Here is a 27,245-nt window from a genome sequence, read left to right as displayed (position 1 = left end):
CTGGAACAGGAGCTCAGGGAAGGCACACAAAAGTAATGTGGTGACCTCCTCTGCTATCCACACTGCTCAAGGAAACAGAAGAGAAGGGCTTAAAAATCCACAAAGCAGCATATTTATTCCAGGCTCTAGTAGACAGCCCCCTGATTTCATTCCCATTCATCATCACCAATAAAATGAGGACGGATCCTGGGCTGGCTGAGGCTCTGTGGTCCTTGGCTCCTTGCCCTGTGCCTTCTCAGCTTCAAGGCAGGCAGTCTGTGTCAGAGGTAGAGATGGCACCCACAGAGGGTACCAGAGCTGCGCAGATACATGAGCCCAGAGGCAGAAAGAGCAGGGAGCAAAGGGTGCACATCCATGAGTCCAGCTGGGGCTTCACTTGCTGCCTGCCATGATCTTGAGGTACTGCAGGGCACGGCGGGCAGCCTCACCACGGGCTGCCTCCCTGGTGGTTGCAGAGCCATGACACACAGTGGCCGGCTGGGTGGACAGTTCCACCAGGCACTGGCAGAGTCCACTCAGGCTCAGCTCCTCTGGAGAGCAAGAGAGAGGAGGGAGGCAATGTTGGGGGAGGTAGCCCTGGGGAGGGGTGCGTTCACGTTATCATCACCCCCTTCTACTTGCTCCGGTCCAGCCCCCACCATCCCCTGGCTCGCTCCCCAGCTAGCCATACCAATATCCAGGTAGCTGACGTGAAAGGCCTGCTCCTCAGAGAGCTCACTGAGGACACGGCAGCAGGCAGGGCCCAGGGCACCCAGGGAGCCCAGGGAGCAACTGCGGAGGGACAGGATCTTCTCTCCTACTGAATTTCGTAGAGAATCCCAGGTGCAACCTGGGCCCCGGTTTCGAAGACCATCCAGGCGGGAGCCCACACCCTGTCAAGATGGGAACAGTGAGAAAGATGAAGCGAGAGACTGTGGGACCCAGGCATTGAGACATTCAACGTCAAAGGAGAACAAAGCACAAAGAATGCTTCCTCCAGCTTGCCTCCCCCCAGTCAATCCCTGGGTGGCCCCTTCTAACTACCAGGCCCTGGGCCAGATGGCCAGGGATCCCTCCTCACCCCAGTAACAGAGCTACAGAGCGGGCCTACAGTCAAGGCTGAGTCGGCCCCAGGAACCCTGGGTCTGGTAGGAAAACTGTGGCAGAAGCAGACCTAGGGCCCAGAGAGGCTCACTGCTGAGTCACAGACCCAAGTCCCTGGAGCCCTGCCCTGGCATGGAGGATGGGCCACGGTGCCCGGCCCACATGAGCCACTCACAATGGAGAAGTGGTCATCATCAGGCTCCACCTCATTGCCATCCCGGGCATCCAGAGGCACCGTGTGCACTCGAAGCAGCATTTTGGCCGCCGCATTCCGCTTTGCCAATTTTTTGGAAGTGCCACTCCCTGCATGTGGAGAGAGGGCTGCTGGGTTATGATTCCCCACAGACCCAGTGCTTCCACCCAGGTCATACTTGGATTGAGGGTCCCCCCAGAATGTCAACTGGAAAGGGGAACTCAAGACCTGCCCATGCACGTGAGAACCTGGTCAGCCAGAGAGAAGGGGACAAATAGGGTGCCAAGAAGCTAAAAGGAAGGGGCTGAGCTAGGGACTGTGAAGCTAAGAGAGCAGGGGGTGTAGCAGAGTGAGGCCAGGAGCTGCTTTGTGGCTGGGGCCAGAGTGCTGCGGGAGAGGAGTTGTGAGAACCCCTTCTTGCCCAGTTACCAATCTCAATGAAACGCTCCACTCGACAGGTCATGGTGAATTCTTTGCGGTGGGCTGGCCCAGACTCCTGGGTCACTGTGTACTCCGGCAACCGCCAGCCTTTCTGCACCACCAGCTCCTTGGAAGGGAGACACAGGGTGCATGAGGCTGAGTGAAAAAAGGCTTCTCACACCCACGCTGGTCCCCACGCAGGAGCCTCAGACTCTAGGTGAGAGGAAGGAGAGAGGGGGGTGGAAAGGGCCTCAGTACAAGGAACCGCCCCCACCCCCAAACACACATAGCCTTCCCTCATGGCCCCTGGCTCAAGGGAAGACAGGCATGCATGGGAAATGAGGATGGGACACACCTGCAGAGCACCAACGGGGTTGCACTCAGACTGCTGAGGGGAGACAGGGGGCTGCAGTTCCATGGGGGGGCTCCTGAAGGAAAAGGCACAGGGCCAAAGTTGAGGTGAAGGGTTCCATCTGAGCCTGCCCATGAGCTCCAAACCTAACCACTACTTTAGATTCCTGACTACCATCTCCCGATTCCACCGGGTGGGGAGCTGTCTGTCCACACATCTAGCCTGCTCCTCCTGCTCTAGCCGGCTTCCTTCCCCCTCCCACTCAAGGGAGGCCTTCTCCAGGCCCCAGCCCATTTCCATTCTGGAACACTTGGGTATCATCTAAGCCAGGACAGTGGGAGAAGAGCTGTATTTCCAGTCCCAGAAGTGCCTGATGGGCCTCAAACACAGAACTGACATGTGGTCAACCCAGAAGAAAATGGGGCCTGCAAGACCCTTAAACATGGTCGGACATCATTCATAAGGCTGTCTGAAAATCACAAATGACCTCTTGTCCCAAGAGCTTACCAGCTGCTGTGATTTCTTCAAGTTCTGGTTCCCAACTATTCCATTCTGTTTATTCTCAGACTTCCTCATGCCTGACCAGCTTGGGTCCAAGGACTGAGGGACCAAAAACCAGAACCCCTTCCTCCACCCACCTCAGGCAGTCAGGGGACACAGATACCTGGTTAGGACTACAGATGGAACTGGGGTAGCAGCTGCTGCAGCAGTAAAAACCGGAATGTCCTCAGGCAGTGAAGAGTCTAGGGGAGAAAAAGAACTTCCCGAGGGGAAGGGGGCCTTTGATTCACACCCATGTATAGGGGGAAGAGAGGGGTGGGGGACCCACGTCCTCCTGACCTCCCAATCCCCTAAGAGAACTTCCAAATTGAGCCAAAGAATCAGGGAGGCTCAACCAACAGCTTCCTCCTCGGATCCTTTGCTGCCAAACACCGGCGAAAAGACTGAGAAAAGAGAGTCTCAGAGAAGAGGGTATCTTTGTACCCAAGAACCAGAGGAGCAACAAACTCCAACCTGCGCGTGAAGGAAGGACATCTTGCTAGAACAAGGAGGTATGTTGGGGAGTAACTCCCTTTAGCCTCAAGCCTCTACCCCTCTCCCTCCCTAACCCAGGCCCCAACCTACTGCCACAACCCCTCTATGGGGCTAACCAACCCCTCCACCCCAAGAATTCTTCATAGCAGCAGAAGCCCTGGAAAACCCTGTTCAGGTCCAGAGGGACTCTCAGGAAGAGGCCAGGTCAGGGTGGCTAAGTGTCACCTGGCCAGGCCTCGGGGCAGAGTGGGTGGTGCAGGGCCTGGGTTCCTTGAAGGGCTTCTGGGATGCCTCGGTTCCTCCCTCACCTGCTGTCCTCCAGGGCCGGCTCCAGCATGCTCCCCCCTTTGAGGTGTTTGAGGGCCACCTCAGCTGCCTTGTGCTTGGCTGCCTTCTTGCTGGGGCCCTGACCTGAGAGAGGGGGCATGGGCAATACTGGAGGTCACTGAAAGGACGGGAAAGAAACCAGCATCCCACAGCCTCTCTCCTCGTAGCCAGAGGGAATCAATCAAGCCCCTTCTGACCAACCTCCCCCTGCTGAAGACTGGAAGTGTTTCACTAATTGCTGGAAGGAAGAGCCCTTATCTTTCCGTTAGCTTCCAGAATTAAGCCATGCCAAGCAGGACTTCTGAGCTCAAACGCCTTGGGTGGACTTCTGAGCGCAAATGCTTTAATTTCCTTTGCAAAGCACTTTCTTTTCCCTCAATAAATACAGAGAGCTGGAATAAGAGAGGGTAGGCTCTGGAGTAAAAGCCCCACTCTGCCACATACTAGGCATGTGACCATGCACCAGCCATTTACTATCTCAAACACTCAGTTTCCTCATATTCAACATGGGCGGGCGGGGGGAGGAGTCGGGGGGGCGGATACTACCACCTACAATCATTGGTTAGACTGAGGTTTAAAATTAAACGGGAATTTGGTTAAGCACCGGGAACAGAGCCCAGCACGCCAGGCACTCACTCCCCCAAATACTCCACTGGGATTTCAGTTATCTTCTCTTACTTTTCCTCTAGGGTGATGGGGATCTGCCAGATCACTGTGGGAGTCCTGCTCGCTCCTCTAACTCTCCCACGTCCTACCCACCTTCTTACAGCCCTGTTCTCCCAATCCAGTCAGTAGCTTTTCCCCTGAAATCTCTCCTTCCCTCACTGGCCTTGGAGAAAAGGACTGTGAAGAGAGAGACTCCAAGAAACAAAGCCATGGGGACCTGCAAATGCACACCCCAGCCAGGCTGCCCAAGCCTTCCTCACCAGTGCAGCTGGTGTCGCCAACGGTGACCCGGAAGGTGAAATTAGGCTGGTGGGCTTGGCCCTCGGCTTTGAGAAGGTCGTACACAGGCGTCTTCCCTATTCTGGTCCCATACTCCTGCAGAAGGCTGATCGGGGTCTTGCCTGGGTTGGCGGCCAGCATTTGCTCTATACTGGGGGAAGGGGCACAGACCCACATCACACCTCCCCTCTCTGCACCCACCTAGCCAAGCACTTCCATACCAGACCTAGGCACATTATGGGGGACATAGGGTCCAAGGAACCCCAGACAGTCTAGCATCCATTGGCTGGGTTCCAAGTGGAGGTGCAGGCTGGAAAAGTAGGGCCCACTACCCCAAAGCAAGGGGGGAAGAATGCATTGCTCCTGCCTCAGTTAAGGTGGGCACGATCCTGTGCCCCAATGCAGGTTGAAAGTGCATACCCCCTGACACAGTGCAAGCCAGGAACCCAGTACCCACCAAATGCACTGAATGTGGGGGCATAAAGCCCAGTGTTCCAGTGCAGTCTGGGAACCGGGCCAACCCCAAACTATTTAGAGCTGGAGGCAGCAGCCACTGCCCCGGTGCACGCCGGGAACCACTGCCCACTGCCCCAGTGCTTGCCGGGAACAACCCTCAGGCCAGGTGCATGCTGGGGCCGCGCCGCTACTCCCTCCGCACGGCCCCACGCTTTTCGCCCTGAAGGAATCGGTACGAGACGGCTCACCTAGGCAGCCCGCAGCCCGTGGTAGTGCCGGAGCCTTGCTCCTCTTCACTCATTCCCTCCTCCGTCCCCGCGGGCGCCACCGTGACTGCAGCCTCCACGCGCCCCAATACACAGCCGACGAGCTAGGGCCGGGGCCAAGCCCGGAGTCGCGGCCGGTAGGGCCCGCCGCGGGGCACGCTGGGATATGGAGTCCCCCGCCCACCCTACTTCGTGAGCCTCCATCTGGAGGGGAGCTATCCGCCCCACAACCCTCTGCGTGCGTGGCTCGCCCGGGCAGGCTGCACCGCCTTCTGGGAGGAGCGGGCCCTCCGCCGTCGCTTCTCGAGAAGGCCGTATTTTTTTGTTTGTAATACCGTCCCGCCTCCTTCCTTCCGCGCCCCCTCTCTCCCGGTCCGTGAAGCTGTGGACATGCGTACTAGCGGAGGGGAAGCCGCTGGGTAGGGAGGCGGTAAGGACTCACTTGGGCACGGAGCCTTTTGGATCGCGAGAAAACTACAGAACCCAAGAGCCCGCGCGCCATCTGTGTCGCAGCTGGAGAGGCAGGGTCAAGCACGCACGAGAAGCTTCATGGCGTCATTGGTTACTCCCATTGCGATTACTTCCCCTAGGTGCACTGAGATTGGTTACTTCGACTAAAGGGGCGGAGACAAGGAAAAGTCAGCCCCCCCCGACCCCGCCTCCTTGATGAAGGAAGGTTGTGATTGGTCCGGAGAGGCTGCCGTCGGATCCTGGCTCTTTGCGGTCTGGGAGGGTGGGCCTTACCTAGACGCCGGAGGGGACCGATCTCTGTTTCCGCAGGGCTCTGGAGCTGGTGCAGGTTTAAGTCCGTCTCAGACAGTCCCCTCAACCCACAGCCTAAGCCCCTTGCCCTTGGGCCTCCGTGACACAGAACTTGCTTCCTTTTCCTAGGTCGTCCTTCACCTCCCTTCAGGTGTTGCTTCTTTTGTGAAACCTTTTTAGAACCGCTCTAGTGAACCTCTCTTTAACTGGCGAGGAAACCTCTGGGGCCTGATAATCAGGCTGTAATGTGGGACGACAGGATTAGAAGGACTAGGCACCTTGGTGGTCTTGTTCCCTCTTCCATGAGTCTTGGGTCTCTCAGCTGAAGAGAGCAAAAGTGAATTTTGGCCGCCTAAGATTAATCAACTGATCTGGGTGTTGAGCAGACGCGCATTGTTTAGTCCTAGAGCCCCATTGCCTCCTCCCCCAAAGTTGCACAACCACTGGGCTGAGGGAAATCTTGTGACCTTGGAGAGAGAAAGGGAGAGACCACATTAAAAAAAAAAAAGGTTCTAATGAGTGTTCTGAGAAGGGGTCAAGAAAGATGTCTTACTCTGAGCCGGGGTTGGAGGTCCAGAGGAATCTTGAAATGATAATGAGGGGTCATCCAGGAACACTGGAGGAGGATGGGGCCTAGAGCCGAGTGAATTCCAAGTGGGTGAAATTGGAGTGAGTGGTGACAATCAAGGGAAGGAGAGCTGGCAAGATCGGTATGATAGGGGGAGCAATGCCAGAGCGCTAGGGATCCCAACTGAGGGGCTGCTCTCTCCGATGTAGAAAGGAGTCTATAAGACGGGTCATAGGGGGTTCCTGTGGAATCAGCCTGAGGCCTGAGGTGGGACCTCCATAGGACACCGCCAGCAGGGAGGCGCGGGGCCCAGGCGGGCCAGGTACGAGCCTGGAGCGCGCCGGATGGCAGCAGCGGGCTCCTTTAAGAGGCCGGCGGCTCCATCGCAGCATCCCCCGCTCAGGGCGTGTCCGTCCCGGGGGGCCAGGGGCGGGGGCCCTGGAAGGAGCGGGAGTTCAAGCCGAGCAGGGACGGGGCTAGGGGTCGGGGGGTGGGGGCAGAAAGCTGAAGCTGACACCCGTGCATCCGGACACCGCACGAGCATCGCCTGTGACAGCGCCCCGGGTCCGGTGGAGGGCAGCGGGGGGAGGAGGGAAGGAGGAGGAGAAGGAGGAGGAGGCGGGAGCAGCATCCGGAGCGGAGCTGCAGCAGCGCCGCCTTTTGTGCTGCGGCCGCGGAGCCCCCGAGGTGAGAGCCTGGCCGAGTTGTGGGGGGGTGGGGGGCAGGGATGGGTCTGGGTCCTGGGATCCGGGCGTGGAGGGAGGGTCGGGATGCAGATGTGGCCTGGTGCGGGGTGATGGCGTGGGGATGCTGAGGCTGTGGGGATGGAGGAACTGGGGACCTGGACCCGACGCCTGTGGGGCTGGGAAGGAAGGGAATGGAGCGGAGGGATGCCGCGGCCCAGCTTGGAGACGAAGGGCCTCCAGAGCTGGAAAGGACCGTATTGGGGTGGGGTGGAGGATGATTGGGGGACAGACTTAAAGGACAGAGGGCAAGAGAACATCTCCTCCCACTCATCCTCAGGAAGAGAGAGAGGGAAGGAGGAGGGAGAGTTTTGGCCCCCTCTAGGGAAGGAAAGGAAGGGCAAGGACTGATATACCCACCATCTCCACACACACACACACACACACACACACACACACACACACACACACACACACACACACACACACACACACACACACACACACACACACACACACACAGCAGGCTGGACCTGAAGATTAGTCAGAGAGCACCTGTTCCTGCATGCCCAGGCGTTGGTCCCCCTCCCCTTCAAGCTGTGATCCTCCTAATCCCCTCCAGCTGTGGCATTCACCTCCAGCTGTGGCATTCACCTCCATCCAGCTGTTGCATCCTCCCCTCCCCCATTCACGTGTGGGTTTCTCCCTCCTCTTTCTCTCCATCTCCTCTGGCTCCCCTAACCCATCTCCCCCAGTCAGGCCCTCCAAAAACCTCCTCCCTTTCCCACAAACACTCCTCAAACTCATTGGCTTAAAAATAAACAAGAGTTGAGACTTGCTGGTAACCAAGGCCTTGACTGAGAGGAGGGAAGAGTCAAGGCTCTGTAGACAGTGGGAGGAAACAGTGAGGTGTCCCTTAGAATTAAGGGAGGAGTCCTACCTTGTAGATGCTCATCTGCTGCCTTTTTCAGAGGAGCGTAGGTGAGTGGCCTCCAATCAGAAGGGAGTGCACATGAGGTCTCCTCACCCCACCCAGAGTCGTCTCAAGCCACAGTCAGTGCATCCCTCTAAACACATTTCCCTTGCAGTTCTCAAGGTGGACTCCATTGCTCTAGGAGCTCTGAGTTTCAGCCAGAGGGTCCTACCAAGCTAAGGCTAACAGAAAGGATTTAGGAAGGATAGGACTCAAGTGCCCCCTGAGCCTTCCTGTCCAGACACTGAAGTTTCTCTGAGCTTTAGGGCCCCACTCCCTCCTATCTCACACTTACAGGTGAAAAAAAGTGTGTCCCCTCAAGCGTATCATTCATCCACTCACTCCCATTGTCAACTGGGGTAATGTTAGGAAAACCCCAGCTCTCAACATGGAGACACCAGCTAAATATCCATCCCAGTTATGGACAGAGGAGGCAAGAAGTTAGACATGGCTCAGGATTTCCTAGGCTTCCTTATAGCTGAAGAGGGCAGAACCCTTCTAAAAACCAATTGCTTTTCCCCTCGTGGTGACACTGTGGTAGGATCAGGCTTTTCTAGGAAGAGGACTCTTGGTTCTACCACTCACAGCCCGGACTCTCGTAATGCACAGTCCTCCCTCTCCCCTGCCTGGATCTGGAGAGAAAGAAGGAATCAACCCTGTAAGAAGTCCTTGCTAGGGTGGACTGGAGATCACCCCTACATTCAGGTCCTCAGCCCTACACCAGTCAAGCCCTGGGACCCCCAGCTGCCATGCTTCTTCCAGTGAGGTGGAAATGTCTGCCCCTCACGCCAGCCACTCATGCATTCACTCACACTGTTGACTGAGGTGATGCTGGGAAGAAGGAGGATACTGTTGAGATGATGCCAGCAGGGGACATAGGGGCTTCATGAGGGCCTGGCCACAGAGACTGGTCTGTCTGGTTCATTGGCTCCCAGAAGGACTGGGGTCATATGTGTGCGTGGAGAAGGTGAGGAGACTGTGACAGTGACCAGATTCCAGAGGAGGCTAAAGATCATTCAGGATAGAGCCCTTGCCCTTTGGTTTCTTCATTCTTTGGTCTTTTTTTTCCCTCTTGTTTCTCCACCTCCCTTTCCACCCATACCCTCCCTACTGGCACTTGCTTTGAGAGAGAGAACAAGGGAAAGAAGGGAAGGGAATCACATTCATAAAAAACTTACAAGTGTGTGTTAGGCACTTTCCATATGGCTAATGCTTATAGAGAGCTTCCTGTGTGCCAGGTCCTGGGCCAAGAACTTTATTTTGATTTTCTTAATCATGCCCGTAACAAGACCAAGTGAGATAGTGTTATCATCATCTCTGATGGAGGAGAAAACTGAAACTTAAGTAATTTGTTTAAAGTAAAAAAGTTAGTATGTGGCAAGAGGTAGGATTTGAACCCAGGTCTGTGTAACCCAGAACCTGTGTTCTTACCCACCACATTATGTACTGCATTGCCACTGTGGGACATAGGTACCACTGTCCCCGTTTAGCAATGAAGAAACTGAGGTTTGTTGAAAAGTCTCAGGCCAGGTCACCCAACTGGCCAGGAGCAGAGACAAGACCTCAGGAAGCCACTCTGATTTTGAGGCCTGTGTTCTCTCCTCTACCACCTACCCTCTCCCTATTGCACAACTGTCCTAATAAGCTAAGTGAAGGAATGCATGAGCAGTCCATCAATCTTATTTTCTCTTTTACAATTTAAATTTTATGTCTTACTTTAAAAGCAATTCAAAGTTGTTACTGAAATACTAGGAATATACGTAAACCCAAAGGAGAAAATTAAAACACTCACAATTCCACCTACCTAGAAACTGTTGTTATACTTTGGTATTTATTCTTCCAGATTTTTAAAAATGCCCATCCCGTTGAGGAACTATATTTGTTAACATCCGCTGAACTTCTTCCTGGTCTATCTGAGGTCCTAGGTAGGAGGGACTCCTGAGGCCCATCCTACCCTGCTCTTGCCCTCCCCTTCCCCGAGGCCTCCATGGGTAAGGCTGAGGGGTGATCCAGGGCCACGTGATCAAAGGGAGGATCTTAGCAGTACAGCTGCTTAAGAGAGCAGATTCCAGAGACAACTGGCCAGGGAGTGAGGATGGGGTGCAGAAAATCAGGCCATCCCCCTTAGTCCAGAGGAGACAGAATGGCAGGATTTACAGAGGAGGGACTGGTGATCTGGTAGAGGAATGACTGGGGACTCCAGCACAATCACTAGCACTGTGACCTGGTTCTACTGGAACCTGAAATCACAGTTTATCCTGGGAAAGCAGAAGGTCAGAGACCAAGTCTTCAGCCTCTCCAGGATCCACAAAGACCTGGTGTCCAGCCAACCAGGAAGACAAAGCAAGGAGGAAACATGCTGCTCCCTGCACCCCCTCTATCACCCTACTTAACCTTCACTACCCCCAGCAGGGTGGGTTGGGCACCACAGAGAGATTACATTCCTTAAACTAAGTGGTGGCAAAACTGGGATTCTAGCTCTGATCTCTCCAAATCTGAAGCTGATTCTTTTTTCCTAAATAGTACTGTCCCTCCCTTCCCTGAACCCCTTCACTGCCCACCCCACTGGAAGTGTGGCAGCTAGGGGTCTCAGGGCTTGATTTACCAATCAAAGACCCGAATTTAGGGGTGATCTCCAGTTTTCCCCCAAGTTCTCAGGGGAACTCATTTCTCCCTCATGAGGGCACTAAGAAAAGCAATAGTTCTTTTCCTCTTGGGATCCTGGGGCCAGGACTGCGGATCCTGAAAAATGGAAAATAAAAACAAGCTGCAGGGCACAGTGGTTCACACCTGTAATGCCAGCATTTTGGGAGACCTAGACTGGTGGATCATTTGAGCCCAGGAGTTTGGAACCAGCCTGGGCAACAGAATGAGACATGGTCTCTACAATTTTTTTTTTTTTTTTTTTTTTTTTTTGAGATGGAGTCTCGCTCTGTTGCCCAGGCTAGAGTGCAGTGGCGGCGGACTACAGGTGCGCCCACCACTACGCCTGGCAAATTTTTTGTATTTTTGGTAGAAACGGGGTTTCACCATGTTAGCCAGGATGGTCTCCATTGCTGGGATTACAGGCGTGAGCAACTGCGCCTGGCCTTTTTTTTTTTTTTTTTTTTTTTTTTTTGGAGACAGAGTATTGCTCTGTCGCCTAGGCTGGAGTGCAGTGGCTCCATCTCGGCTCACTGCAGGCTCCGCCCCCTGGGTTCACGCCATTCTCCTGCCTCAGCCTCCCGAGTAGCTGGGACTACAGGCGTCCGCCACCACGCCCAGCTAATTTTTTGTATTTTTAGTAGAGACGGGGTTTCCCCATGGTAGCCAGGATGGTCTCCATCTCCTGACCTCATGATCCGCCCGCCTGGGCCTCCCAAAGTGCTGGGACTACAGACGTGAGCCACTGTGCTCGGCCTTTTTTTAATTTAGTCTGGTGTGGTGGTGAGTGCCTGTAGTCCCAGCTACTCAGGAGGCTGAAGGGGGAGGATCACTTGAGCCCAGGAGGTTGAGGCTGCAGGCAGTGAGCCGTGATCATCCCACTGCACTCCAGCCTGGGCAACAAAGCGAGACCCTGTTTCAAAAACAATACGAGCTGCAGCCAAGGGGACAGGAGGCATGGCCACGATTGATCAGAGACCTTTATCCTCTCAGGGTTTCAAAGCTTGCAGAGGTGGAATTAGGACTCCAAAGTCTTGGGTCTCCTTTCCCTTTGAAGACTCCCCTTCCTACCCCCACTCACGAGAGAAAGGGAATCATTCTCCTTTTCCTGAGTAAAAAAATGAGGTCTCAGACAGTGGAGAGCACTCAGTGTGAGAGCCCAAGATTTAGGCAGATGACCTGGCCTCTGAACTGAGCCCCTAAGACCACCAAACAGCTTAGCATTGACATTCTGCTGTTATACAAGAAGGAGCTAGAGAGAATTCAGAGAGTTTACCTGCCACAGGCTTCCAAAATCTCAGGCCAGAGAACCTAGAAGGTGGGATAGATGGGGGGTGACTTCCTACCCCACTCTACCCTGTAGCCTCCTTATGGAGTCACTTTGGGGCCACCAGCAAAGCACTGAATTAGGGCCTGTTGGGTGTCCAAAGAGCCTCCTCCCCTGGCACATGTATGGCTTAGAGATCATTCTGTCCCCTCACCCAATGTGAGGCAGAAGCACCATCAACACTTGGTAGATATGGTTGACAGTGAGTGACAGAGAGACCCACCCTCCTGTCACATTGCTGCCCTTCCCCCATGCTCTGCATAATTGATAACGGAGAGACAGCTACCCTCCCCCAGGGTGACTGAACGTCTGGGCCAGGGGCTCCTAGCCATCCTAGACGCCCCTCCAAAGCTCTGGCGCCAAGGCCCAGCCAGGGGGCAGTGGGACACAGCTGGCAGGTCAGAAATAAAGGAAACAAAAAGGGGTATGTGTGTGTGTGTTGGGAGAGAGGAATCTCCACTTTACTATAGCTCCCAGGGGCAGCAGCTTTCCCTCACTCCAGGTCAATGTGGAAGAGCCGTCAACTAGCCTGAGATCTTTCCCTTGGTCCCATCTCCTACTTCTTCAGCTATCCCCACTACCGTAAAAGACAAACAGGTGAAATGGCTTCTCTCCTTCTCTCCCCAGCTGCTGGCCCTGGATACCAGAAGGGCCTCTGGGGAAGCCTGGTGAACTGGAGGGAGGCTCGGCTGGCTGCAAGTGTCTCTGAGCATGTCACCCTTTCTATGCCTAAACCACCTAGTCGTCAAACAACCAGATGACGGCTGAAAAATTCCTTTAAAAAGCCAGGTGCTGTGCCTACTCAAAGCTCGGCTTCTAGACAGAAAAGGAGATGGGTGTTCTCCGTGTTTCTCACTCCCCTTTCATCTCCATTTTCTCAGGGTCCTCTGCTTTTCCAAACAGCTTTTCAAGCCATCCTTCTCGGGGTTGACTCCGCTTGACGCTGCTCCGGTGTCTGTATATGTCTCAGCTCCTTCCTCCTTCCTAGCTGTACCTTTCGCCTTTTCTGTGCCCTGTCTCCCTTTCTCTCATTTCCTGCTTTCCTTCCCTGTGGTACTGCACCCCCAATGCCAACCCCACAAGTCCCCTCCTGCCAACACCAGACGCCTCAGCCGAAGATCTCTCTGCATGCGGGGGCAGGGGAAGGAAGGGAACACAGATGGGGCAGACCGCTGGGTGGGGGTCCGCACCTAAGATCCTCGCAGCCATCCCGGCAACCAGCCACCTGGGCCGGCCCAGGTCAGGGGCGGGGCCCAGGCACAGCCCCGCCCCCACGTCGCGCTCACGTGATCCGGGGCTAATCTTGTCCTGGTGACTTCACGCGCCGCCTCAGGCCCAGTCGTCATGGTTACGCCGCAGCGCCCAGCGCTTCCCCCAGCCGGCCGTGTCCCTTCCCTTTCCCCACCCGGACCACCCCCTTCCGCCGCCGCGGCCCCCGCCCCAGCCACGCGCCACGTGACGGCCGGGAAGGAGGTCGGGAAGGGGGAGGGGGCGCTGTGGCCGTAACCCCTTCCTCCCCACTTTCAGCGGTCCTGACTTGGGCTTCGTCCTTCCATTGCTGGTGACCAAGCTGTCCAGGGCACGGCCCCGGCTCCTCCCCGAGGGCTCCAATCCCGCCATCCCTCCCTCCTGGCCTGCCAGGCGAGAGCGTCCCAGAGTCTTGGGCCTTGTTTCTGGGTGGTCCAGAAGCGAAGCCCGGGGTTGCGGCGGAGTGGGAGGTGGTGGGGGCGGGGAGGGAGGTTGGGGGGCAGGCAAAATCCCTTGGGTCCTCCAGACGAAATTCTCCCATATGTTGGCACTTTGCTTGGTCTGTGTTTGTCTGTAATTTGCATTGCAACCTACACCTTACCTCTTGAAGCCACAAATAACGCGTGGGATATGTTGGGGATTTGGAAGCTGAACTTTAGTGTGATTTGTGCTTTCTGGGCCTCAGTTCTCTCAAGAATATAATGGGACCAGTAGTACCTCCTTCACCTGGCTCTTCTGAGGATTCAGGGAGCTAGTTTTGTGTGTGTGTTTGCGCGCGCGCGCGCGCGCAGAGAGAGTGTGCGGGGCTTAAGGCGATCCTCCGGGGTGAGTAGAGCAGTGGTTCCACCTTACCGAGCACCTTCTGCGTGCCAGGTGCTGTTGCAAGCCATGGTTCCCTTGTGATGCGAAGTCATCTCTCTAAAGGCTGTCCAGGCTCTCAAAGGAGCCAGACGCCCGACTACATTGTCCGTCCAGTATAATGGGAACCATGATAGAGGACGCATAGTGGGGCTGTGTCAGCCCAGAAGGCGCATTAACCTAGAGCGGATCAGGAAAGAAGGACGTCCAGGATAAAGTGACACCTGGATAGAGATGAGAAGCGCCTTCCAGGCTGGGGGTGAAGCTTGAGCTTCTTTTTCTTCTTCTTCTTTTTTTTTTTTTTTTTGAAACAGAGTCTTGCTCTGTCACCCAGGCTAGAGTGCAGTGGCACAATCTCGGCTCACTGCAACCTCCACCTCCTGGGCTCAAGCGATTCTCCCACCTTAGCCTCTCAAGTAGCTGGGACCACAGGCATGCGCCACCACGCCCAGCTAATTTTTTGTATTTGTAGCAGAGACAGGCTCTCCCCATGTTCCCCAGGCTGGTCTCAAACTCCCGAGCTCAAGCGATCCGCCCACCTCGGCTTCCCAGAGTGCTGGGATTACAGGCGTGAGCCACTGCGCCCAGCAGAGCTTGAGCTTCTTAATAGCTATGGCCCTGTGGGCAGATTATTTAATACCTCTATGCCTGCCGGGCGCGGTGGCTCACGCCTGTAATCCCAGCACTTTGGGAGGCCGAGATGGGCGGATCATGAGGTCAGGAGATCGAGACTATCCTGGCTAACACGGTGAAACCCGGTCTCTACTAAACACAGAAAAAATTAGCCGGGCGTCGTGGCGGGCGCCTGTAGTCCCAGCTACTCGGGAGGCCGAGGCAGGAGAATGGTGTGAACCCGGAAGGCAGAGCTTGCAGTGAGCGGAGATCGTGCCACTGAGCTCCAGCCTGGGTGACAGTGCAAGACTCCATCTCAAAAAAAAAAAAAACCTCTATGCCTTAGTCTGTAAAACGGGGCTAATAATGCCCAGCTTACAGTTTTGAGGATTAAATATGCAAAGTGCTAATGCACCTTTACCAGAAGCTAACATACTTAGTAAGCCTGTTTTTCTTTTCTTTTCTTTTTTTTTTTTTTTTTTGAGACAGAGTCTCACTCTGTCGCCCAGGCTGGAGTGCAATGGCGTGATCTTGGCTCACTGCAACTTCCGCCTCCCGGGTTCAAGTGATTCTCCTGCTTCAGCCTCCCGAGTAGCTGGGACTACAGGCGACCGCCGCCCCACCTGGCTAATTTTTTGTATTTTAGTAGAGACGGGGTTGCACCGTGTTGCCCAGGCTGGTCTCGAACTCCTGAGCTCAAGCAATCCTCCTGTCTCAGCCTCCGAAAGTGCTAGATTACAGGCGTGAGCCACTACGCCCAGCCGTAAGCCTTCCTTAAGTTAGCCATTATCATTGGGTGTCCTGGTTCAAAAACCCGACGTGGCCAAGTTTGTTGGTGGGGGTGGTTGTTTTTTCTTTTGTGACAAGGTCTCGCTCTGTCGCTCAGGCTGCAGTTCAGTGGTGCAATCACTGCTCACTGCAGCTTCACCCTCCCAGGCTCAAGGTATCCTCCCACCTCAGACTCCTGAGTAGCTGGAACTAAAGGTGCACATCACCACACTCAGCTAATTTTTTTTTTTTTTTTGAGATGGAGTCTCACTCTGTTGCCCAGGCTGGAGTGCAGTGGTGCGATCTCGGCTCACTGCTCAACCTCCACCTCCCATGTTCATGCCATTCTTCTGCCTCAGCCTCCCGAGTAGCTGGGACTACAGGCGCCTGCCACCACACACGGCTAATTTTTTGTATTTTTTAGTAGACAGGGTTTCACCGTGTTAGCCAGCATGGTCTCGATCTCCTGACCTCGTGATCCGCCCGCCTCGGCCTCCCAGAGTGCTGGGATTACAGGCATGAGCCACTGTGCCTGGCCGGCTAATTTTTATATTTTTGTAGAGATGGCTTTTCACCATGTTGCCCAGACTGGTCTTGAACTTCCAGGCTTCAGTGATCCACCTGCCTTGGCCCCTCAAATTTCTGGGATTAAAGGTGTGAGCCACCATGCCTGGCCCAATCTGTTTTTTGTTGTTGTTGAGACACAGTCTTGTTCTGTCACCCAGGCTGGAGTACAGTGGCGTGATCTCGGCTCACTGCAACCTCCTCCTCCCAGATTCAAGCAATTCTCGTGCCTCAGCCTCCTGAGTAGCTGGGACTACAGGTGCCCACCACCACGGCCGGCTAATTTTGGAGATTTTTAGTAGAGACGGGGTTTCACCATGTTGGCCAGTCTGGTCTCAAACTCCTGACCTCAGGTGGTCCGCCTGCCTCAGCCTCCCAAAGTGTTGGTATTACAGGCATGAGCCACCACACCTGGCCCCCAATCTGTTTTAGAAAGATCCTTCTGAAGGAGCTGGGTGGAGAATTGGGGTTAGGGAGGGCACTTGGAGACCAGCTGTCCTGGGCCAGGTGAGGACAGCTAATGAGGGTTGAACTAAGGCAGTAACAGTGGGACTGGAAAATAGCATGCACTGGGTTAGAGCTTTACAAATCTAGGGTGCTTGTTAAATATGCTGATTCCAGGCCTACCACCCTCACCCCCCAGGAAAAAGTCTTCAAGGGAAAGGCCTGGTAATTATTACAAGAACTATCAGAGTTTCCCAAGCCTCCTTGTGTGCCTGTGTAATCATCTACTGAACCCTTCTAGATGTAGAGATTCCTGCCACTCCTCCCCCACTGCAATTCAGAATGTATGGCAATCATTTCCAGACTAACCCAGGGGCTCATGGAAGGACCCTGCTAGCTATGAGGAACAATTAGAGGGATGCTTGTTCTTGGGAATCTTCAAATCTCAGGATCTGGTAACTGACAAGTGTGGAGTGAGTTGGGAGACCAGCATGGCGCCTGGGGCCAAGTTCTGGACAAGTCTGGTGTAGGATTAAGGGTTTGCTGTGCCTTAGTGACAGCCAGTTTATTCCTTTGTATAGCTGAGGCTCAACTACAGCTCGCCTGAGGTCACATAGCCATTATGTGGCAGAAGCAAGTCAGGATTCAGGGTTTTTGTTTGTTTGTTTGTTTTTTGAGACGGGGTTTGGCTACTTCGCCCAGGCTGGGATTCAGTGGCTTACTGCAACCTCCGCCACCTGGGCTCAAGCAATCATCTCACCTCAGCCTCCAGAGGAGCTGGGACCACAGTCACAGGATCACCATGCCCAGCTTTGTTGTTTTTTGTTTGTTTGTTTGTTTCTATTTTTGGTAGAGACAGGGTTTTGCCATGTTGCCCAGGCTGGTCTCAAACTTTTTTTTTTTTTTTTTTTTTTGAGACAGAGTTTCACTCTGTCGCCCAAGGCTGGAGTGCAGTGGTGTGATCTTGGCTTACTGCAACCTCACCTCTGGGGTTCAAGTGATTCTCCTGCCTCAGCCTCCCGAGTAGCTGGGATTACAGGCATCCACCACCACGCCCAGCTAATTTTTTCTTTTTAAGTAGAGACAGGGTTTCGCCATGTTGGCCAGGCTGGTCTCAAACTCCTGACCTCAAGCGATCCACCCACCTCAGCCTCCCAAAGTGCTAGGATTACAGGCGTGAGCCACTGCGCCCAGCCAAGGTCTCAAACTCTTGAGCTCAAGTGATCCACCTGCCTCAGCCTCCCAAAGTGTTGAGATTACAGGCATGAGCCAACACACCGTGCCAGATTCAGGTTTTTTAATGGTTGCTTTTTATTTATTTATATATTTTTTTAGACAGAGTTTCGCTCTTGTTGCCCAGGCTGGAGTGCAGTGGCATGATCTTGGCTCACCAAAACCTCAGCCTCCCGGGTTTAAGCAATTCTTCTGCCTCAGCCTCCCAAGTAGCTGGGATTACAGGCATGTGCCACCACGCCTAGCTAATTTTGTATTTTTAGTAGAGACGGGGTTTCTCCATGTTGACCAGACTGGTCTCGAATTCCTGACCTCAGGTGATCCGCCCGCCTCGGCCTCTGAAAGTGCTGAGATTACAGGTGTGAGCCACTGCACCCGGCCTAATGGTTGCTTTTTAAATAGCACCCAGCTATGAACTGGGACACATCTCCATTGCCTGGAAAGTTTGGGGAGCAGAGGATGGGGCAATGGAGAAGAGGAAAGAGAAGACAAGACCTTGTTTGACCCCTGGGAGAGCCGCTGGACTGAAGGGAGGGCCAAGGGGGATGAAGCAGTGGCCTTCTGTGACAGTGTCTGCATCCCCATTGGCTGCTTCTGCCTTTTTCCCCACCTGTGCTGGGGGGACAGAACTCTGTGGTTACAACCTTCACTTACCTTGGAGAGGCCCAGGGGTGTGTTTTAGAATGAGGCTCTCACCTGAGTTGAGTGTTCCTGAGAGGGCCTCAGTAGTACCGTGTGTAAGTACCTGGGTGGGAGGCCCGGGTGCATCGCCTGTGTGTAGGCAGCTCAAGAATGCTGTCCAAGGGTGTCTGAAAGGTTTACCAGCATCCTGTGTGTGCTTCAATGTGAAGGAGGTCTAGGTGTTACTATTGTGTGCCTGAGGTTGACCCCGAGGTAAAGGTGTAAATGTGAGACCCTTCTGATACCTGTGTGTGCCTGTGAGTCTCGGGTGAAAAAAATGTGCTGCAGCAATGAATTAGTCATCTTACAGGGAGAAGGGAACTCATCTGTTACCATTACTCTTGAATTTGAGACATATTTTACCAGTGTGTACCCACGTGGGGCTGTTACCTGAGAATGATACTCAGGTACGATACCTGTCTACCTATTACTTGCCTTACTAACATGCCTGAGAGGAAGCCCAAGTGTATCAGATTTCCTAAGATGGCTCAAGGTGCAATTTGGAGGGCCATGGGAAACGGAGCCACAAGTGTTACCTCCAGCGGGGCTACTGTGAACCCAGCACCCCAGTCTGTGCCTCTGGGATAAGTGTCCTGAGCAGGCAGTCCTGGGGCTTTAACAGCCCAGCCCCTCCTTCCTTCATTCCCACAGGGCCCAGTGTTCACCATCATACCAGGGGCCAGAGGCGATGGCTTGCCTCCATGAGACCCGAACACCCTCTCCTTCCTTTGGGGGCTTTGTGTCTACCCTAAGTGAGGCATCCATGCGCAAGCTGGACCCAGACACTTCTGACTGCACTCCCGAGAAGGACCTGACGCCTACCCAGTGTGTACTTCGAGATGTGGTACCCCTTGGTGGGCAGGGTGGGGGAGGGCCCAGCCCCTCCCCAGGTGGAGAGCCGCCCCCTGAGCCTTTTGCCAACAGTGTCCTGCAGCTACATGAGCAGGATGCAGGGGGCCCAGGGGGAGCAGCTGGGTCACCTGAGAGTCGGGCATCCAGAGTTCGAGCTGACGAGGTGCGACTGCAGTGCCAGAGTGGCAGTGGCTTCCTTGAGGGCCTCTTTGGCTGCCTGCGCCCTGTCTGGACCATGATTGGCAAAGCCTACTCCACTGAGCACAAGCAGCAGCAGGAAGGTAGGCCACGTCCTTGTGGGAGCCTCCTCTCTGTTTCCCTGAGCCCGAGATCTGTTGGTCAGCTCCGCTAAAGTCACGCAATGGTCCCTTCCCTCCCCATGGCCCAGCCCTAGTCCCTTAGCCATCCATCAGCCTCTAACTTCCCAGCTTCTTTTAAGGCCACCCATTCATTCCTTCCCTGTCCCCTCGAACCTTCTTCTTGGCCTATTTTTGGCTTTCTGCCTCACCCTCCTTAAGTCAATTCAGCCAACCCAATGCTATCCTGTCCCTGGCCTTGAGTGTGGCTCTTTCTGAGGCTTGTGGCACTGTGCCTCCTGCCCACAGACCTTTGGGAGGTCCCCTTTGAGGAAATCCTGGACCTGCAGTGGGTGGGCTCAGGGGCCCAGGGTGCTGTCTTCCTGGGGCGCTTCCACGGGGAGGAGGTGGCTGTGAAGAAGGTGCGAGACCTCAAAGAAACCGACATCAAGCACTTGCGAAAGCTGAAGCACCCCAACATCATCACTTTCAAGTGAGGTCCAGGGCAGGGGCTGGGTGTTGGGGATACTATGCTAAGGCCTGGTACCCTCCTGGGCAGTGGGACCTACCCCATCCTTCCCCAGAGGAGATCCATAGGTGGAATGGGTGGGAATGGGGGTTCCAGGTATGAATCAGGTGAATGCTGAGCCAGCTGAGGCCTTCATACCATTGTTTGGCTCCCAGGGGTGTGTGCACCCAGGCTCCCTGCTACTGCATCCTCATGGAGTTCTGCGCCCAGGGCCAGCTGTATGAGGTACTGCGGGCTGGCCGCCCTGTCACCCCCTCCTTACTGGTTGACTGGTCCATGGGCATCGCTGGTGGCATGAACTACCTGCACCTGCACAAGATTATCCACAGGGATCTCAAGTCACCCAAGTGAGTAAGCAAGCAGGGAGCAACAGATGTGCATGCAGGTGACCCACTCAAGTCAGTGTGGCCTTCTCCCGGCTTCCAAACCATGCCCTAGGTCCATGTGGCCATCTCAGAAACCTCTTCCAAGTGACAGTCCCATCTCAGAAGGGCTGTAGTGAGCCCCTCACCTTTGAGTGTCCCAAATGATTTTAAACTGAAAGGCAGGCCGGATGCAGTGGCTCACGCCTGTAATCCCAACACTTTGGGAGGCCGAGGCGGGTGGATCACAAGGTCAAGAGATCGAGACCATCCTGGCCAACATGGTGAAACCTCGTCTCTAATAAAAATACAAAAAAATTAGTCAGGCGTGGTGGCGAGTGCCCGTAGTCTCAGCTACTCAGGAGGCTGAGGCAGGAGAATCACTTGAACCCAGGAGGTGGAGGTTGCAGTGAGCCGAGATTGAGCCACTGCACTCCAGCCTGAGTGACAGAGTGAGACTCCGTCTCAAACAAACAAACAAAAAAACCTGAAAGGCAGAGTTGCTGCAGAGTTAGATGAGGTGTGTGGAGGGGTGTGGACCCCAGCTGACTACACTCTTTACCAGCATGCTAATCACCTACGACGATGTGGTGAAGATCTCAGATTTTGGCACTTCCAAGGAGCTGAGTGACAAGAGCACCAAGATGTCCTTTGCAGGGACAGTAGCCTGGATGGCCCCTGAGGTGATCCGCAATGAACCTGTGTCTGAGAAGGTCGACATCTGGTGAGAACTAGGCTGAAAACTGAGAAGAGTGGGTGGCCAGCCCTGGGGGGATTGTGGGCAACTTCTAGGGCTTGAGCACAAGTGATGTCCCCTCATCCCTAGGTCCTTTGGCGTGGTGCTATGGGAACTGCTGACTGGTGAGATCCCCTACAAAGACGTAGATTCCTCAGCCATTATCTGGGGTGTGGGAAGCAACAGTCTCCATCTGCCCGTGCCCTCCAGTTGCCCAGATGGTTTCAAGATCCTGCTTCGCCAGTGCTGGTAAGGATGGTCTGGGCTGGGATACTGGGCCTGGAGAAGTTGAGAAGCACGGTAGTACTGGGCTGGACTGACCAATAAATGGCAGGGGTACATTTAATTCAAAGAGACTGACTTTCATCTGAATCAGGCTCATGCTACCTTCTGAGCTGAGTCACCAGGGGTAATTGGTATCTACTCTGAACCTGTTTCCTCATCTATAAAATACACTTAACGATATCTGCATTCCTGATTTGTCATGAAGTGCCAGTGAGTGCATACAAGTACAAGGAAGGAGCAGCATAACCACCAAGCATGGTTGGTTGAGCCTCAAGTAAACAACCTTAGAACACAGAAGGAAAGGACCCCAGACCCTCATTTGGAACCTAGACCCAGGGAAGTTTGACGATTGCTAATCTGTCACTGAGCATTTCCCAAAATGTGGTTCCTTCAATGAAGTTATTCAGAAAAGGCTTTTATTTTGGGAGACAAGTTGGAAAATATGGGGTTCAATAGGTTTCCTTACTGCAGGATTTTGACACACTAATGAATAGTGTGTAATATTCTCTAGAGACAGTTGACCATAAGTTCTTTTGTCACAGAGTACATTCTAGGATTGGATTCTCCAGGACACACTTTGGGAAAGGATGCTCCAGTTCCTATCTGATCCTCCCTCAAATTCTCCCCTCTCCTTCCTAACTCCATTCCTTTCAGGAATAGCAAACCACGAAATCGCCCATCATTCCGACAGATCCTGCTGCATCTGGACATTGCCTCAGCTGATGTACTCTCCACACCCCAGGAGACTTACTTTAAGTCCCAGGTGTGCTGTGGGTAGGAAAATAAATACCTAACTCCCCTTCTTTGCAGAGATGATGCTATTTGAGGGGGAGGCTGGGAAATGGGTTGAGTGGGACTGAAGAGATTGGCTCTTAGAGGGCTGAGTCAATCCACTCCTTTTTGCTCCAGCACACACATTGGCAGTGGTGTGGGCAACCTGCAGAGCCTTTCACTGGGTGAAGGGATGGCTCTCACTCTTCATCTGCTCTCAACCCATAGGCAGAGTGGCGGGAAGAAGTAAAACTGCACTTTGAAAAGATTAAGTCAGAAGGGACCTGTCTGCACCGCCTAGAAGAGGAACTGGTGATGAGGAGGAGGGAGGAGCTCAGGTGAGTTCCCGTGCTTGGGGAGGTGATTTTACTAACAGCAAGGACTATGCACCCAGTCAGCTCCTACCCAGCCCCAGGGCGGGTGGAAGGACTACGAAAGGACTGTGGACAGGAATTCTGAGACTGAGATCTGTTATGGCCCTAGGTGAACCCAGTTCACCTTGGGGAACCTTTCTGCCCGTTGCAGACACGCCCTGGACATCAGGGAGCACTATGAAAGGAAGCTGGAGAGAGCCAACAACCTGTATATGGAACTTAATGCCCTCATGTTGCAGCTGGAACTCAAGGAGAGGGAGCTGCTCAGGTAACCCTACCTGTCCTTATGCACCAAGCCCTGGAGCTGTGCCTGCCTTAGAGGTCCTACTGAGACTGGGGTGCCCCTTCCTGGTCATTTGCCCAGCTGAGAAGGTGCCTGGATCTTTAGGCGAGAGCAAGCTTTAGAGCGGAGGTGCCCAGGCCTGCTGAAGCCACACCCTTCCCGGGGCCTCCTGCATGGAAACACAATGGAGAAGCTTATCAAGAAGAGGAATGTGCCACAGAAGCTGTCACCCCATAGCAAAAGGTGGGACATGAGTACTGTGGTTCCAATATGGCAAGAGGGATACTGAAGTGGCAACAGGTATATTAGCAGGGAGATGTGTACTTTAGTGTCCAAGGTTAGGGAGTGCTTTGAGTACATAGATTTGGCAGTCTTAACCTTTTACTTTTCCTCTTCTTCCAGGCCAGATATCCTCAAGACGGAGTCTTTGCTCCCTAAACTAGATGCAGCCCTGAGTGGGGTGGGGCTTCCTGGGTGTCCTAAGGGCCCCCCCTCACCAGGACGGAGTCGCCGTGGCAAGACCCGTCACCGCAAGGCCAGCGCCAAGGGGAGCTGTGGGGACCTGCCTGGGCTTCGTACAGCTGTGCCACCCCATGAACCTGGAGGACCAGGAAGCCCAGGGGGCCTAGGAGGGGGACCCTCAGCCTGGGAGGCCTGCCCTCCCGCCCTCCGTGGGCTTCATCATGACCTCCTGCTCCGCAAAATGTCTTCATCGTCCCCAGACCTGCTGTCAGCAGCACTAGGGTCCCGGGGCCGGGGGGCCACAGGCGGAGCTGGGGATCCTGGCTCACCACCTCCGGCCCGGGGTGACACCCCACCAAGTGAGGGCTCAGCCCCTGGCTCCACCAGCCCAGATTCACCTGGGGGAGCCAAAGGGGAACCACCTCCTCCAGTAGGGCCTGGTGAAGGTGTGGGGCTTCTGGGAACTGGAAGGGAAGGGACCTCAGGCCGGGGAGGAAGCCGGGCTGGGTCCCAGCACTTGACCCCAGCTGCACTGCTGTACAGGGCTGCCGTCACCCGAAGTCAGGTAAAGTATGGGAAGGCTCCCAAGCTCTTTCCCTTTTTCCTTATCCTCCCTGGGGTCCAAGTCTAATCCCCCACATTATGCTCAATTTTAAGCCATTCCCTACTTCACCCTTCGTAACTATGTTCCCTTCTCCTGGATTCTTAGTGACCTCTTTCCACTTCTAATCAGACCCCCCCCACCCCATCTCTCCTGCAGAAACGTGGCATCTCATCGGAAGAGGAGGAAGGAGAGGTAGACAGTGAAGTAGAGCTGACATCAAGCCAGAGGTAAGTGATGGCATTACAAGAATTAATGGCATTCTTGTTTTCTGCTAGGGGCAGAACCAAGCTGTAATCCCCCTCTTCAACATGTAGGTGGCCTCAGAGCCTGAACATGCGCCAGTCACTATCTACCTTCAGCTCAGAGAATCCATCAGATGGGGAGGAAGGCACAGCTAGTGAACCTTCCCCCAGTGGCACACCTGAAGTTGGCAGCACCAACACTGATGAGCGGCCAGATGAGCGGTCTGATGACATGTGCTCCCAGGGCTCAGAAATCCCACTGGACCCACCTCCTTCAGAGGTCATCCCTGGCCCTGAACCCAGCTCCCTGCCCATTCCACACCAGGAACTTCTCAGAGAGCGGGTGAGTGGCACAACAGCAAAAAGCAGATATTGAACAGGGAGAGCTGTAAGCAGATGCCTTGTCTTTTAACAGCTTTTGGGGAGACAGCTGCACAGGCCAGAAAGTACCATAAAGAGCAAATATCCACGTGGTGGAATTTCAGAAGCCTCTTGCACAGAGCATCTATTACGATGCCTGACCAGTAGCTTGCATGTAGCTATAAATTGCAGCCAGGGAATGATTCTGAAAGGAGTCTGACACCTTGGAGAATGGCCTGAGCAACTGAAATCTGGAAGGAATAAAACCAGTAAGCTGGCTGGGCATGGTGACTCACGCCTGGAATCCCAGAACTTTGGGAGGCCGAGGCGGGTGGATCACAAGGTCAGGAGTTCAAGACCAGCCTGACCAATATGGTAAAACCCCATCTCTATTAAAAGTACAAAAATTAGCTGGGCGTGGTGGTGCATGCCTGTAGTCCCAGCTACTCAGAAGGCTGAGGCAGAAGAATTGCTTGAACCTGGGAGGCAGAGGTTGCAGTGAGCCGAGATTGTGCTACTGCACTCCAGCCTGGGCGAGAGTGAGACTCTGTCTTAAAAAACAAATCAGTAAGCCACTGGCTATTAAAATGACCCCAGCAAAGAACCCCAAGGAATCTCACTCCATTTCTACTCTTTCTCACAGGGCCCTCCCAATTCTGAGGACTCAGACTGTGACAGCACTGAATTGGACAACTCCAACAGCGTTGATGCCTTGCGGCCCCCAGCTTCCCTCCCTCCATGAAAGCCACTCGTATTCCTTGTACATAGAGAAATATTTATATAAATTATATATATATACATATATATATATATATGCGCCACATAATCAACAGAAAGATGGGGCTGTCCCAGCCGTAAGTCAGGCTCGAGGGAGACTGATCCCCTGACCAATTCACCTGATAAACTCTAGGGACACTGGCAGCTGTGGAAATGAATGAGGCACAGCCGTAGAGCTGTGGCTAAGGGCAAGCCCCTTCCTGCCCCACCCCATTCCTTATATTCAGCAAGCAACAAGGCAATAGAAAAGCCAGGGTTGTCTTTATATTCTTTATCCCCAAATAATAGGGGGTGGGGGGAGGGGCGGTGGGAGGGGCAGGAGAGAAAACCACTTAGACTGCACTTTTCTGTTCCGTTTACTCTGTTTACACATTTTGCACTTGGGAGGAGGGAGGCTAAGGCTGGGTCCTCCCCTCTGAGGTTTCTCAGGTGGCAATGTAACTCATTTTTTTGTCCCACCATTTATCTTCTCTGCCCAAGCCCTGTCTTAAGGCCCAGGGGGAGGTTAGGAGACTGATAGCATGTGATGGCTCAGGCTGAAGAACCGGGGTGCTGTTTAAGTCCCTGCTTTTATCCTGGTGCCTGATTGGGGTGGGGACTGTCCTACTGTAACCCCTGTGAAAAACCTTGAAATATAACACTCCATGCAGGCCCAGCTGTTGAGGGTTTTCTTGATGAATGAATGGGGTACCATACATGGTTAAGATAAAGCCTTGGGCTCCGGACTTTATCTGAGGTGTCTGGAGAAGTTCTCCTGCCCCTCCACTTTTTTGCATCTACTCTCACTAAATGAGTATAATGTCAAGCCCCAACTTTCTAAAATTATAGGAATAAATGGTAGCAGATACATCCTTCTAACTTGTTATGGAGGACTATAAATGAAGTTACTAAAAACAATAGACTGAAATTTTTAGTTTAAAATATGCAAGCCTGAACAAGGGGACCAACATTCCCAAGAAACTGGAACCCAGTCAGACATATGATCAACTGCTTAATGTGTATGCCATGTATGTCATGTGTCATTCCTTTCCCCCACCCCCTCCCTAGTGGAAGTGCTTGCCTACTCCCCTAGGACAGGTAAGTCCTCGGAAAGTCTAATCCTCAATCTTTTGGGCACAAGTTTTATAAGGGCCAACCAAGCATGGAGTCAGGGAAAAATAGGATCGAGGGCCACAAAAAAAGATGGAAGTGGTAAAATAGAAGAAAACATCTTAACCGGAATAAAGGCTTCCATTCAAAACCCAAGAAGGGTCCTTTGAGGGATAAAAGGTACAAAAATAACAGCAAGACAAGAGGAATAAAACCCACATGAATCACTGTGGCATCCAGTTTCTATTCACAAAGAAAAAGCTCCAGTCCATCTTTTAATTTTTTTGAAAAATTCCTGACATTACAGAACTAAACTGAAATGTATTAATATTCCACTCTTACATTTCCATGACAAACAGAAAAATTCATGAGCCAAAAAAAAAAAACCAGGGAGAAGCTTATAAAACTAAATATGGATCTCAGCATCAACAGCTGAACAGAGAAAGGAATTAAAACGCTTTAATTAAAAAATCACGAGTGGATGATAAAGTGTGTAGAAACTGAAAATTTACAAACTATTTAAAACCTGGAATCGCTGACTGTTCAGAAACTACACAGATGGATCATGGGTGGTGGTGAACAGCAGAAAGGGATTATGGATGAATCTGCATTGTTCTAGCTGCTCCCCATGCCACCCGTCTCCGAGGAAAGCCTGTAACACAGAAACAAGAACTCAGTTAGTTTCCCCAGTGCTCAGCTGCACCTCATCTCTACCTGGTTCATGAAATGTGAAGAGTAAATAACCAGTGCTGGAGTACCAAGGGAGACATTTTAAGGTTTCT

The 27,245-nt window shown here is 53.4% G+C and overlaps 3 protein-coding genes across 23 annotated transcripts in view, besides 5 other annotated features; 1 reads left to right on the top strand and 2 right to left on the bottom strand.

The window, feature by feature from the left end:
• Positions 1-89: 89 nt before the first annotated feature.
• On the bottom strand, positions 90-5,598 carry TARBP2 (TARBP2 subunit of RISC loading complex). 7 transcript variants are annotated; one of them, NM_004178.5, is made up of 9 exons: positions 5,520-5,598; positions 4,337-4,501; positions 3,392-3,494; positions 2,713-2,808; positions 2,052-2,124; positions 1,706-1,823; positions 1,259-1,386; positions 671-872; positions 90-530 (listed from the first exon to the last, which is right to left on the bottom strand). In NM_004178.5, the coding sequence occupies exons 2-9, from the start codon at positions 4,494-4,496 to the stop codon at positions 373-375; spliced, it is 1,038 nt and encodes a 345-aa protein (NP_004169.3). In that variant the 5' UTR covers positions 4,497-4,501; positions 5,520-5,598; the 3' UTR covers positions 90-372. The 7 variants fall into 7 exon arrangements, with proteins under 7 accessions (NP_004169.3, NP_599150.1, NP_599151.2 ...); NM_134323.2 differs by lacking the exon at positions 5,520-5,598 and adding an exon at positions 5,060-5,238 and having other exon boundaries at positions 4,337-4,506; NM_134324.3 differs by lacking the exon at positions 5,520-5,598 and adding an exon at positions 4,813-4,935 and having other exon boundaries at positions 4,337-4,506.
• On the top strand, positions 4,982-26,852 carry MAP3K12 (mitogen-activated protein kinase kinase kinase 12). Of its 9 annotated transcripts, none has more exons than NM_006301.4 (15): positions 7,063-7,094; positions 19,093-19,266; positions 19,366-19,574; positions 19,899-20,082; positions 20,274-20,465; positions 21,046-21,204; positions 21,307-21,465; positions 22,156-22,264; positions 22,501-22,610; positions 22,798-22,914; positions 23,035-23,172; positions 23,332-23,956; positions 24,152-24,222; positions 24,310-24,580; positions 25,241-26,852. In NM_006301.4, the coding sequence occupies exons 2-15, from the start codon at positions 19,130-19,132 to the stop codon at positions 25,337-25,339; spliced, it is 2,580 nt and encodes an 859-aa protein (NP_006292.3). In that variant the 5' UTR covers positions 7,063-7,094; positions 19,093-19,129; the 3' UTR covers positions 25,340-26,852. The 9 variants fall into 9 exon arrangements, with proteins under 9 accessions (XP_011537027.1, NP_006292.3, NP_001180440.1 ...); XM_017019956.3 differs by lacking the exon at positions 7,063-7,094 and adding an exon at positions 11,585-12,822; XM_011538725.4 differs by lacking the exon at positions 7,063-7,094 and adding an exon at positions 4,982-6,493 and having other exon boundaries at positions 19,093-19,574.
• Positions 5,304-5,603: an enhancer, noted in NCBI's record as "active region_6423". NCBI's record gives its function as "activates an Ori minimal core promoter by ATAC-STARR-seq in GM12878 lymphoblastoid cells {active_cell/tissue: GM12878}" and the evidence as "EXISTENCE:reporter gene assay evidence [ECO:0000049][PMID:35858748]".
• Positions 6,697-6,946: a silencer, noted in NCBI's record as "silent region_4515". NCBI's record gives its function as "represses an Ori minimal core promoter by ATAC-STARR-seq in GM12878 lymphoblastoid cells {active_cell/tissue: GM12878}" and the evidence as "EXISTENCE:reporter gene assay evidence [ECO:0000049][PMID:35858748]".
• Positions 9,922-10,216: a silencer, noted in NCBI's record as "tiled region #1043; K562 Repressive DNase unmatched - State 8:EnhW". NCBI's record gives its function as "represses a minimal TATA promoter and a strong SV40 promoter by Sharpr-MPRA in K562 cells {active_cell/tissue: K562}" and the evidence as "EXISTENCE:reporter gene assay evidence [ECO:0000049][PMID:27701403]".
• Positions 13,394-13,643: a silencer, noted in NCBI's record as "silent region_4514". NCBI's record gives its function as "represses an Ori minimal core promoter by ATAC-STARR-seq in GM12878 lymphoblastoid cells {active_cell/tissue: GM12878}" and the evidence as "EXISTENCE:reporter gene assay evidence [ECO:0000049][PMID:35858748]".
• Positions 23,653-24,166: an enhancer, noted in NCBI's record as "H3K27ac-H3K4me1 hESC enhancer chr12:53876139-53876652 (GRCh37/hg19 assembly coordinates)". NCBI's record gives its function as "activates a minimal SCP1, AML or CMV promoter by ChIP-STARR-seq in naive H9 embryonic stem cells {active_cell/tissue: H9 hESC(naive)}" and the evidence as "EXISTENCE:reporter gene assay evidence [ECO:0000049][PMID:30033119]".
• The window catches only part of PCBP2 (poly(rC) binding protein 2), a 29,061-nt gene continuing 27,174 nt past the window's right edge, over positions 25,359-27,245 (bottom strand). For all 7 annotated transcript variants that reach the window (NM_005016.6, NM_001128911.2, NM_001128913.2 and 4 more), the window contains one exon: positions 25,359-27,115. In NM_005016.6, the coding sequence (NP_005007.2) occupies positions 27,079-27,115 (37 nt within the window). In that variant the 3' untranslated portion in view covers positions 25,359-27,078. The remainder of the gene's footprint in view (positions 27,116-27,245) is intronic.

This window comes from Homo sapiens, chromosome 12 (assembly GCF_000001405.40).
Source record: "Homo sapiens chromosome 12, GRCh38.p14 Primary Assembly".
NCBI lineage: Eukaryota > Metazoa > Chordata > Mammalia > Primates > Hominidae > Homo > Homo sapiens.
This window is presented reverse-complemented; position numbering and strand designations above follow the sequence as displayed.